At 40.6% G+C, this 12,277-nt stretch overlaps 2 annotated features.

Annotated features, from left to right (window-relative positions):
* Window positions 4,280-4,339: an enhancer, noted in NCBI's record as "active region_19388". NCBI's record gives its function as "activates an Ori minimal core promoter by ATAC-STARR-seq in GM12878 lymphoblastoid cells {active_cell/tissue: GM12878}" and the evidence as "EXISTENCE:reporter gene assay evidence [ECO:0000049][PMID:35858748]".
* Window positions 6,108-6,607: an enhancer, noted in NCBI's record as "OCT4-NANOG-H3K4me1 hESC enhancer chr3:5751477-5751976 (GRCh37/hg19 assembly coordinates)". NCBI's record gives its function as "activates a minimal SCP1, AML or CMV promoter by ChIP-STARR-seq in primed H9 embryonic stem cells {active_cell/tissue: H9 hESC(primed)}" and the evidence as "EXISTENCE:reporter gene assay evidence [ECO:0000049][PMID:30033119]".

Consider the following 12,277-nt stretch of genomic DNA (forward strand, 5'->3'; position numbering starts at 1 on the left):
TAAAACCTTGTAGACATATTTATCCAATTTTAACGTCTGACCTTAAGGTAAGATTTTTATAGACTCTTTTTAACCTTTTCTAATTTTTGTTAAAGAGCAGGTTAGCACTTTAAGAAAAACCCGTTGTGCTTTTATTTTAATGTCCAGTTGACAGTAAAACTGGATGATACCCTTTTAACTTTAGCCAGTATGTTTACACACAGAATTTCCTTTACAATTAATGTTTTAAAACTTGCTTAACCCTTCCAAACAAATTTTTTTAACCTTTTATTGTAGGTAAAAATCCACATTCTTATGCCTCCTTATAATCCTTTTACCAAAAGTTTATTTTACTTTCCTTATACATCTTGCACATAAACTGTTTCTTCAATAGTTTTACACTCAGGAGGCCTAATTACTTTAAAATTATACAACATTACTTGCATAAATTCCTTTTTATAACACACATTTTTTTTTCACAACTTTCATGGACAATTCTTTCACATGCCTCAACTTTTTGACTTGTTGCTAACATCCCTTTATTTTTTTTTTTTTATTATTATTTTTAAAATTATACTTTAAGTTCCAGGGTACATGTGCACAACGTGCAGGTTTGTTACATATGTATACATGTGTCATGTTGGTGTGCTGCATCCATTAACTCGTCATTTACATTAGGTATATCTCCTAATGCTGTCCCTCCCCCATCCCCCCACCCCACAACAGGCCCGGTGTGTGATGTTCCCCATCCTGTGTCCAGGTGTTCTCATTGGTCAATTCCCACCTATGAGTGAGAACACGTGGTGTTTGGTTTTCTGTACTTGCAATAGTTTGCTCAGAATGATGGTTTCCAGCTTCATCCATGTCCCTACAAAGGACATGAACTCATCCTTTTTTATGGCTACATAGTATTCCATGGTGTATATGTGCCACATTTTCTTAATCCAGTCTATCATTGATGGACATTTAGGTTGGTTCCAAGCCTTTGCTATTGTGAATAGTGCTGCAATAAACATACGTCTGCATGTGTCTTTATAGCAGCATGATTTATAATCCTTTGGGTATATACCCAGTAATGGGATGGCTGGGTCAAATGGTATTTCTAGTTCTAGATCCCTGAGGAATCACCACACTGTCTTCCACAATGGTTGAACTAGTTTACAGTCCCACCAACAGTGTAAAAGTGTTCCTATTTCTCCACATCCTCTCCAGCACCTGTTTGTTTCCTGACTTTTTAATGATCGTCGTTCTAAGTGGTGTGAGATGATATCTCATTGTGGTTTTGCTTTGCATTTCTCTGATGGCCAGTGATGATGAGCATTTTTTCATGTGTCTGTTGGCTGCATAAATGTCTTCTTTTGAGAAGTGTCTGTTCATATCCTTCACCCACTTTTTGATGGGGTGTTTGATTTTTTTTTTGTAAATTTGTTTAAGTTCTTTGTAGATTCTGGATATTAGCCCTTTGTCAGATGGGTAGATTGTAAAAATGTTCTCCCATTCTGTAGGTTGCCTGTTCACTCTGATGGTAGTTTGTTTTGCTGTGCAGAAGCTCTTTAGTTTAATTAGATCCCATTTGTCAATTTTGGCTTTTGCTGCCATTGCTTTTGGTGTTTTAGTCATGAAGTCCTTGCCCATGCCAATGTCCTGAATGGTATTGGCTAGGTTTTCTTCTAGGGTTTTTATGGTTTTAGGTCTAATATTTAAGTCTTTAATCCATCTTGAATTAATTTTTGTGTAAGATGTAAGGAAGGGATCCAGTTTCAGCTTTTGACATATGGCTAGCCAGTTTACCCAGCACCATTTATTAAATAGGGAATCCTTTCCCCATTTCTTGTTCTTGTCAGGTTTGTCAAAGATCATATGGTTGTAGATGTGTGGTATTATTTCTGAAGGCTCTGTTCTGTTCCATTGGTCTATATCTCTGTTTTGGTACCAGTACCATGCTGTTTTGGTTACTGTAGCCTTGTAGTATAGTTTGAAGTCAGGCAGTGTGATACCTCCAGCTTTGTTCTTTTGGCTTAGGATTGTCTTGGCAATGCAGGGTCTTTTTTGGTTCCGTATGAACTTTAAAGTAGTTTTTTCCAATTCTGTGAAGAAAGTCATTGGTAGCTTGATGGGGATGGCATTGACTCTATAAATTACCTTGGGCAGTATGGCCATTTTCATGATATTGATTCTTCCTATCCATGAGTATGGAATGTTCTTCCATTTATTTGTGTCCTCTTATATCGTTGAGCAGTGGTTTGTAGTTCTCCTTGAAGAGGTCCTTCACATCCCTTGTAAGTTGGATTCCTAGGTATTTGATTCTCTTTGAAGCAATTGTGAATGGGAGTTCACTCATGATTTGGCTCTCTGTTTGTCTGTTATTGGTGTATAGGAATGCTTATGATTTTTGCGCATTGATTTTGTATCCTGAGACTTTGCTGAAGTTGCTTATCACCTTAAGGAGCTTTTGGGCTGTGATGATGGGGTTTTCTAAATATTCAATCATGTCATCTGCAAACAGGGACAATTTGACTTCCTCTTTTCCTAATTAAATAACCTTTATTTGTTTCTCCTGCCTGATTCCCCTGGCCAGAACTTCCAACACCATGTTGAATAGGAGTGGTGAGAGAGGACATCCCTGTCTTGTGCCAGTTTTCAAAGCGAATGCTTCCAGTTTTTGCCCATTCAGTATGACATTGGCTGTGGGTTTGTCATAAATAGCTCCTATGACTTTGAGATACATCCCATCAATACTTAGTTTATTGAGAGTTTTTAGCATGAAGGGCTGCTGAATTTTGTCGAAGGCCTTTTCTAACATCTCTTTCTTCAAACAACCGGTTAATTTATTTTAGGACAAGAATTTACCATATAACATTCTTTTTACATAAATTCTCCCCCAACCCCATTTTTTTTTTTCCCAAAGATGATAACCATTCTTTTCCAAAGTGAACTTCCTTCATATCTGTGGACTAGACTGCCTAAGGCCACCAGATTAGAAGTTAGGATAATACATGTTACACTGTTAACTTTTAGCAATCTTTTGTTTTGTTGAAAACCTTGTAAGTTTGGGATTTCAATGATCCTTTGCTATTAATAAGACCTTGTTTAGTCCAAATTAACTTAGAATTGGTATAGATGGTTCCTTCCTGGTTCTGTAGGTACTTTAAGGCTTGGCTGAGTGCAAACAGCTCCCACCTTTGGGCCGACCAAGAATTAGGCAATTTTCCCAACTCTGCTTTTACAAAAGTTTCCCTATTAATTACGGAATACCCATTGTGTCTTTTTCCCTCAATCGCCCAGGAAGAACCATCTATCCTCCAGTCCTGAAGGGAGTTCCTCCTAGGTCAGGTTGGACCTTTGTATGGTAATTAATTAAGATTTACATCCCCTGTTAGGAAGCCTGGTGAGTTAAGGGAATTACTAGTGGTTAATGTTAAATCATCTTTTTCTAACAGAATAGCCCCACATTTTAAGATTTTTGAGTTAGTAAGCTACCTTTTGCTTTTTTTTTTTTTTTTTTTTTTTTGACTTAGGATCGTTCTGAACTGGTAAGGTGTGCTCATAATGAGGTCTCCTCTAAAAGTTATTTTTCTACTTTCTTCTGCTAGCAAAGCAGTTGCCACTACAGATTGAATGCATTTGGGCCATCCATGGGTTACTGGGTTAAGGATTTTTGATAGGAAGGCTACGGGTTGTCAGTGGCCTTAGTGCTTTTGGGCTACACCCTTGTTTATACTGACAACAAGGTGGTATTGAAGTGTTACAGGGTCAAGGAGAAGATCTTCAGTTGTCAATTATAGGTTTTAAGTTTACCCTGGCTTTTAAAGGAATAGGGTACAGTGTTTTCTCTTTACTATTATATCTCTCTTTTTCTCTTTCTCTCTTGACTTTCTGTCTCTGTCTCTTTGACTCCCTCTTCATCTCTCTGTCTCTTCCTCTCTCTCTCTGCTTCTCCTTGTCTCTCTCTCTCTCTTTGACTCCCTCTTTGTCTCTTCCTCTCTTTGCTTCTGTTTCTCTCTCTGCCTCTCTCTCTTTCCCCTCTCCTTGTCTTCCCTCCCCCCCCTTCTTCTCTGCTGTTCTTTCCCTGTCTCTGCCAGCTGTTAATGCTGCTGTTCTCCCCTCTCCTTCCCCTTCCCCTTGAGGGACTGGTGGGATTGGAGCTACTCTTTCTTCCCTTAAAGGAAAGGAAAGGGGAGTTCTGAATATTTTTCTTACTACCGGAGGTTAGTGTGAGGTTCAACCCCCATTCATGGGGATTTCTCACCTCCTTCTGAGGTTCAACCCTCCCTCCTGGGGATTTCTCACCTCTTTGTGAGGTTCAACCCCCCTGTCGTGGGGATTTCTCACCTCTTTCTGTGGTTCAACCCCCCACCATGGGGATTTCTCACCTCTTTTTAACCTCCAAGACATCCCAACTAAGGAATAGTTCACCACCCCCCCATGGCTTTCTTTCCCTAGTCCCAACTAAAGAATGCTTTACCACCCCTGCAATTTGTCTTTCCTTGGTATGTCCTAACCAAGGAATGCTTTACTGCCCCATGGCTTTTTCCTTAGTCCTGACCACCAAGGAAGTACTTTACTGGCTCCTGTGGCTTCTCCTTCCTTGGTCTGGGCACAGAGTTGTCACCGCAGTATGTGAGGATCCTTTAAGCTAGGCTGCTGGCCATTTTTATTTTATTTTATTTATTTATTTATTTTTGCATTGCTGAGAGCTTGGGTTATTCCTTGCACTGGGTGGGTCTTGATTTCTCACCCCTGAGGCCGCTGCAAGGGGGTGGGGTGCACCTCCTCACAAGAGAGAACAAGAAAAGAGATCGCCCCCAGAGGGGAATGTAATCGTGGGAGAGCCCCCAAATTGTTATCAATAAAGCTTTGGTGCTGCAAAAGAAATAACACTCAAATACAAAATTTTCTTTGTAATTCTCAGCAAGGGAAGTTACTTCTATAGAAGGGTGTGCCCTTACAGATGGAGCAATGGTGAGCACAGACTTGGACAAGGGAGGGGAATGGGTTCTTATCCCTGATGCACGTGGGCCGGTGCTGCTGTGTCGTTCCCCTATTGGCTAGGTTAGACTGTACCAGGCTAAACTAATTCTGATTGGCTAATTTAAAGAAAGTGATGGGATGAGTGTCTTGGTGGGAAAAATGGTTATGCAGGGTGAAGAATAAGTTAGGGTGGAGCAGGTAGCAGGTATTCGGAATGAGTCAGGATGGAGCAGATAATCAAAAAAGGTTGCTTTAGGAGGAAGTTCAGTTTAAAAGTAGAAGGCAAAGAATTGAACATACTGACATATTGATTCTTTGAAAAGAAATTTAGAACTCATATCTAACATGTTTACAGTGGCCCCAAGGTAGAAAGTGAGCATGAAGAGTTCCAGGGTCTGAAAGAAAACTACCATGGTTGTAACTTAGTCAAGCCTTCCTATAATTTCCATTTGGGAATATAATTTCTACTGTAATCTAAACATATTGATGAGATAATATACAGAGAAGCCATAAAATAGTGGTGAGGCATACAATAAGCATGCAATAAATATCAGCCATCATTGTTGATGTTGTCATTGTTACAGAAGGATTCTAATTCCTCCTCTTTTGCCTTTGGTGTTAAACATCTGGTTTACCTGTGATTTAAATGGTTATGTTTTCAAAATAATTTGCACTGACTATTTATAGGCGTGATTTTTCAACTTCTTAGAGTCACAAAGAAATTGTTCTAATGAGAATTTGTCTGATGAAAGTTGTTACACTTCTCCTTGGAAGAATTCACATTTATCGAACACACAGGAGTTTGAATTTCATTTTAGGCCTTTCATTGCCCCCTAGTTTGATAGTTCTGATTAATTATTTAACATTTCTTGAAGACCAGAATCATACCCCGTACTTATTTGCAACTTTTGCCTGCCTAATTTAGAAGATGCTTTATTTTCATTGATGGTGGTCTTCTTGCCTTCTTTTTTAAATCATATTTTATTAGTGCTAATATCCATACTTGTATTAGTCCATTTTCATACTACTGTAACTGTTCCACTCTTGTCTTTTGCATACTTGCAGGCCCAACACCATGTGGAAGCCACCAAAGCTTGGGACTTGCACCCTTTGAAGCAACCGCCCAAGCTGTACCTTGACCCCTTAGCCATGGCTGAAGCCAGAGTGGCTGGGACACAGGGCACCAAATCCTGAGGCTGCACAGAGCAGTGGGGGCCCTGGGCCCTGCCCATGAAGCCGTTTTCCCCTCTTAGGCCTCTGGGCTTGTGATGGGAGGGGCTGTCAGGAAGATGTTTGACATGCCCTGGAGACATTTTCCCCCATTGTCTCCACTATTAACATTTGACTTCTCCTTACTTATGCAAATTTCTGCAGCAGGCTTGAATTCCTCCCCAGAAAATGGTTTTTTCTTTTCTACCACATGGTGAGGCTACAAATTTTCCAAATCTTTATGCTCTGCCTCCCTTTTAAACACAAGTTCCAATTTCAAACCATGGCTTTGTGAATGCATAAAGCTGAATGCTTTCAGAATAATCCAGGTCACTCCTTGAATGCTTTGTGGCTTAGGAATTTTTTCTATCAGATACCCTGAATCATCTCTCTCAAGTTCAAAGTTCCACAGATCTCTGGGGCAGGGAAAAAATGTCTACAGTCTCTTTGCTAAAGCAAAGCAAGAGTCAATTTTACTCCAGTTCCCAACAAGTTCCTCATTTCCATCTGAGACCACCTCAGCCTGGACTTCATTGTCGATATCACTATCAGCATTTTGGTCAAAGCCATTCAACAGGTCTCCAGGAAGTTCCAAACTTTCCCATATCTCTGTCTTTTGTCTTCTTCTCAGCCCTCCAAACTGTTCCAGCCTCTGCCTGTGTTGATGAAAAGAGTCAAACTCTGTAAAGTATTTTAAGAGATTTATTCTGAGCCAAATATGAGTGACCATGGCTCGTGACACAGCCCCCAGGAGGTCCGGAGAACATGTGCTCAAGGTGCTCAGGGTACAGCTTGATTTTACATATTTTAGGAAGGCATGAGACATCAATCAAATACATTTACGAAATACATGGTGTGGTTCAGAAAGGTGGGACAACTCAAAGCATGGGCTTCCAGGCTATATGTAAATTTAAAGATTTTCTGGTTGACAATTGGTTGAGTGTATCTGAAGACCTGGGATCAATAGAAATGAAGTGTTCAGGTTAAGATAAAAGATTGTGCAGACCAAGTTTTATTGTGCAGAAGAAGCTCTCAGATAGCAGACTTCAGAGAGAACACGTTGTAAAATATTTCTTATCTGCCTTAAAAGGGTGCCTGGCTCTTAGCTGATTATCTGTTGGATCTGGAAAGGAAGGAAAGAAAAAAAAAAGGGAAAGGGGATTCGCTATAGAATGTGGATTTTTCCCGTAAGAGACTTCACAGGGCAATTTCAGGGTATAGCAAGGAAATACATTTTGGGGTAAAACATTTTGATTTTCTTCCTTGTTATGCCAGAGTCAGATGGGAAAGTTAGTCACAATATACAGGGTTAAATGAAACCCATCTGATGAGAATTTATGATTTGTAGGGTATGAGTCCCCAGACTCCTTAGATAGGAATTTAGGCCAGATAAGAAAAATCAGAGTTTAGTCCTCACCTGTTATCCAATTCCTGAGTCACTTCCACATTTTCAGGTTATCTTTAAAACAGTACCCCACTCTACCAGTACCAATTTCCTGTATTAGTCTGCTTTCACACTCCTCTAAAGAATATCTGAGACTGCATAATTTATAAAGAAAGGAGGTTTAGTTGAGTCACAGTTTCACATGGCTGGAGAGCCCTCAGGAAACTTATAATCATGGCAGAAGTTGAAGGGGAAGCACTTTCTTTATAAGGTGGCAGGAGGGGGAGAGCAGGGGAAACTGCCATTTATAAAACCATCAGATCTCATAAGAATTCACTCACTATCATGAGAACAGCATGGGGTAAACAGCCCCCATGATCCAGTCACCTTCCACCAGGGCCCTCCCTTGACAAGTGGAGATTACATTTGAGATGAGATTTGGGTGGGGACACAGAGCCAAACCATATCAGTACTTTTTCTTTTTTAATATCTGTGATAATTTGTTGCATCTTACAATAAGTACTAAGCCACAGTCTAATTGCCAGCTTTGTTTTCTTTCTCAGTGCTATACAAGGTAATGAATGGTACCTCTTACTGTCAGTGGTGTCTTGGATTTGGCAGAACATGATGCATACCTCTGTAATAGCCTAGCAGGTCCCCAGATGCCCAAATATCAGGTCTCATGCAATGCTTTTATTTCTTCAAAACTTCGTGTCCTGAAAGTATGAAACATAAAACTTCCTCCCAATTTAATAACAATTAATTTTCCTCTGGAGAGAGATTCCTGGCAGGGCCACCTCACTGATTGTCAGTTTATGTACTGCAAGAAGGTGCTTGGTCAAAGGAGGTGATGTAACCCTGCCAGTGCTTCCTCCACTTGGCTGGCTGTGGAGAAAGGCCATAGGAAGGAATGCCTTTTGGTAATTCATCTGCTCAGACTGGGTGAGGTTTGAATTTGTCCACCCAGAGCAGCTACCTTTTTATAATTCACACAGGCATAGTTGTGCAAGCTGCAGGCCTGACTCCCCATATCATAGTTTTAACTTAATCTCTTTCTTTTTCCATCCAGTCATCTCTCTGTCTTCATTGTTTCTTACCTTCCAAGGAGCCTAAATTTAAAGGAAGCTTAATTTAGTTTTCCTATCTACGTGCAGATAAATTCTATCTCTAGAGGATGTTAATTATTTTTTTGACCTTTCAGCATCCATTTCTTCCTCTTTTCGTAACTGTTCTCTGATTTCTCTATGGACAGTCACTGCCTCCCGCATGCTCAGCCCAAGAATTCTGAAACGGTTTTGGGCAGGGGTAGGAACATGTATGACATAGAACTAAGTCAGAGCATTGTGCCTCTCCGACCATAGAGGAACCTGGTCTGATCAGAGTTAAGAAGATAGAGTGGACCCTCTTCCTAGGAATCCTGGCCAACAGACTCTCATGGTTTGCTGTACTTTGAATAAAGAGGAGATAAGGTCTGGAGCTGCTGTTGTGGCCTTGAGCCACAGTGGTGGAACTTCTTTGAGGATGAAGCCAACAACCTGGAAGGCTGAACTGAAAGGATGAGAGAAACTGAATCAAGATTACATTATTTAGGGTTTGAGAACAGCTGTATCTGAAACCAACAATATTCCTGACATTATTATTATGTTAACAGATAAATACCCATTTTTACTTCAGCATGTGTGGGTAGACTACTTTTAATTTGCAGTTGAAGAGTCTGATACCCCCTCTCCCGTAATACCTACTGGTCTAAAACTATATCCAATTCTCTTATAGCTGTACGTGGGATGGGCTTGGTTTGTTCTGTCTTTATCTTTGTTGGCCTCTCTATGTGTCTCTCTTTTCCTGTTTCTGTCTCTATGTCTCTTGTTCCATTGTTTTTCTCTCTCTTTCTCTCTTCCTTTAGAAAGCTTTTAATAAGCTGTTGCTGAGACTTTTCATTACGATTATTTAGAAAGAAAATTATCTATTAGCCTAAAAGATAAAGCTTTTGGTGCTGAGTTGAGAGACTTTATTGTTATATCTGTTCTATTTTTTTCTGATCACCCTGGTTCCTGTGTTTATAGGTAGAAGACTTCTGGGTCTGAGGAGGAAATGTTTTTGTTAGCTAGCTTTGTAAAATATGAATGAGCTCTGAATGCATTAGAAGGGTTAGTAATCAGTTGCTGTTTCTGAATGAATGTTCTTAGAACTTGGGAATTACGAAATCTTCAGCAATCAGTCAGGTATTGTTAATAGACAGTTCTTAAGAAAAAAACATATTGATTTAAGTCTAGTTGCAGTAACTGGTTTCTCTAGGATGAGTAAGGTGATAGCATGTGACGCCAAGAGAGTAAAGGTTTTTATCTTTTTCGTTACCATCCAAGTGCTAAGTTAATAGAAGGTACTCAATAAATACTGGCTGAGTTCATGAATGAATGAATTAATGAAGATTCATTATTTTGGTTAATTGAGAATACTTGGTACTTGAGTTACTGTATATCATGTTCATGATCAATTTTGAGGAGATAAAATATATACAGTCCTAGTTATTTTGTGATTTAAATGTAGACATTTCTTGCCTGAAAAAGCAATTTCATAATAACATTTACTAGACAGATGTTGCTGATTCCTCTATTTTTCCCCAGGCCTTATCATTCCAGAATTATCTGTTGTTTATACTTCAAGTTTGGCAGCTCCCTATGGTGAGGTAGCTTCTCATTATTACAGAACCCCCCTTGTGATGCAAATTTCTGGCTTGAAGAATCAGATAGCTTACTTCACTATATGGTTTGGATGCTTGTCCCCTCCAAATCTCATGTTGAAATGTAATCCCCAGTATTGGAGGTGGGGCCTGGTGGGAGATGTTTTCATGATGGGGGTGGATTTCTCATGAGTGGCTTGGTGCCATCCTTATGGTAATGAGTGAGTTCTCACTCTATGAGTTCACATGAGATCTGGTTGTTTTAAAAGCCTGGAAATTCCTCCTCTCTCTCTTGCTCCCTTTCTTGCCATGTGAGATGCCTGCTCCCCCTTTGCCTTCTGCCATGATTGGAAGTTTCCTGAGGCCCTCACCAGGAGCGAACACTGGAGCCATGATTTCTGTACAGCCTACAGTTCTGTGAGCCAAGTAAACCAATTTTCTTTAAGAATTACATAGCCTCAGGTATTCCTTTTAGTAATGCAAATGTACTAACATGGAAAATTGGTACAAGGAGTCGGGCATTGCAATGAAGATACCTGATTATGTGGAGATGTCTTTGGAACTGTGTAATGGGCAGAGGTTGGAAGAGTTTAGAGGGCTCAGAAAAAGGAAGTTGAGAGAAAGTTTGGAACTTTTTAGAGACTTTTTAAATGGTTATGACCAAAATACTGTTAGAAATATGGACAGTGAAGGCCAGGTTGAGGAGGTCTCAGATGGAATGAGAAATTTACTGGGAATTAGAGCAAAGGTAACCCTTGCTATGCCACAGCAAAGAATTTGGCTGTATTGTGCCCATGTCCTAGGGCTTTGTGAAAGTGATGATTTAGGGTATCTGATAGAAGAAATTTCTCAGTAGCAAAGCATTCAAGATGTTGCCTGGCTGCTTCTAATAGCCTGTGATCAGATACAGGGAACAAACACATGACTTAAAGTTGGAATATATAGTTTAAAGGGAAGCAAAATATTAAAGTTTGGGGAATTTACAGCCTGGCCTTGTATTAAGAGAAGGAAACAGCATTTTCAGGAGAGAAATTCAAGAGGACTGTGGAGCAACCACTTGCTAGAGAGATTAGCATGACTCAGGAGGAAATAAGAGTTTAAAAGGCCTCAAAGGCATTCCAAAAGTCTTCAGGATAGTCCCTCCCATCCCAGGCCCAGAGGCTTCAGAAGAAAGAATGGTTTCAGGGGCCAGGCCTGGGACCCCACTGTCTAGCACAGCCTCAGAACACTACTCCCAACATACATGCTGCTCCAGCTCTAGTTGAAGTTCAAAGAGCCCCAAGTACAGCTTGGAGTGTAAGCCATAAGACTTGGTGGCTTCTATATGGTGTTAACTCTGCCGGTGTGCAGAAGCAAGAGTGAAGAAGGCTTAGCAGCTTCCACCTAGATTTCAGAAGATGTATTGGAAACCCTGGGTGCCTAGGCAGAGCATGCTGCAGGGGCAGAGCCCTCAGAGAGACTCTATTAAGGCATTGCCAAGGGGAAATGTGAGGTTGTAATACCCCCACAGTGTCCCACCAGGGAGGACATGCTTAGTCTAGCTGTGGGAAGGAGGATTCTGCCCTCTAAACCTGAGAATGGTAGAGCCACAAGCAGCTTGCACCCTGTGCCTGGGAAAGCCACAGGCACTTAACTTCAGCCCATGAGAGCAGCCACAGGGGCCATACCCTGCAAAGCCATAGGGGCAGACGTGCCCAAAACCTTGGGAGTTCACCCTTTGCACCAGTGAGCCATGGATGCAGGAGATAAAGTCAAGGATTGTTTTGGAGCTTTCAGGTTTAATGTCTGTCATGCTGGGTTTCTGAATTATGTGGGGCCTACTGCCCCCTTCTTTTGGATGATTTGTCCCTTTTGGAATGGGAAAGCTTACCCAATGCCTATACTCCCATTGTATCTTGGAAGCAAATGACTTGGTTTTGATTTTACAGGCTCATAGGTGAAAGGAAGATGAGTCTCAGATGAGACTTTGGACTTTGGACATAGGACTTTTGGTTTGATGCTGGAACCAGTTAAGACTTTGGGGAACTATTAAGAGGGGATGATTATATTTTCGA

This window comes from Homo sapiens, chromosome 3 (assembly GCF_000001405.40).
Source record: "Homo sapiens chromosome 3, GRCh38.p14 Primary Assembly".
Taxonomy (NCBI): Eukaryota; Metazoa; Chordata; class Mammalia; order Primates; family Hominidae; genus Homo; species Homo sapiens.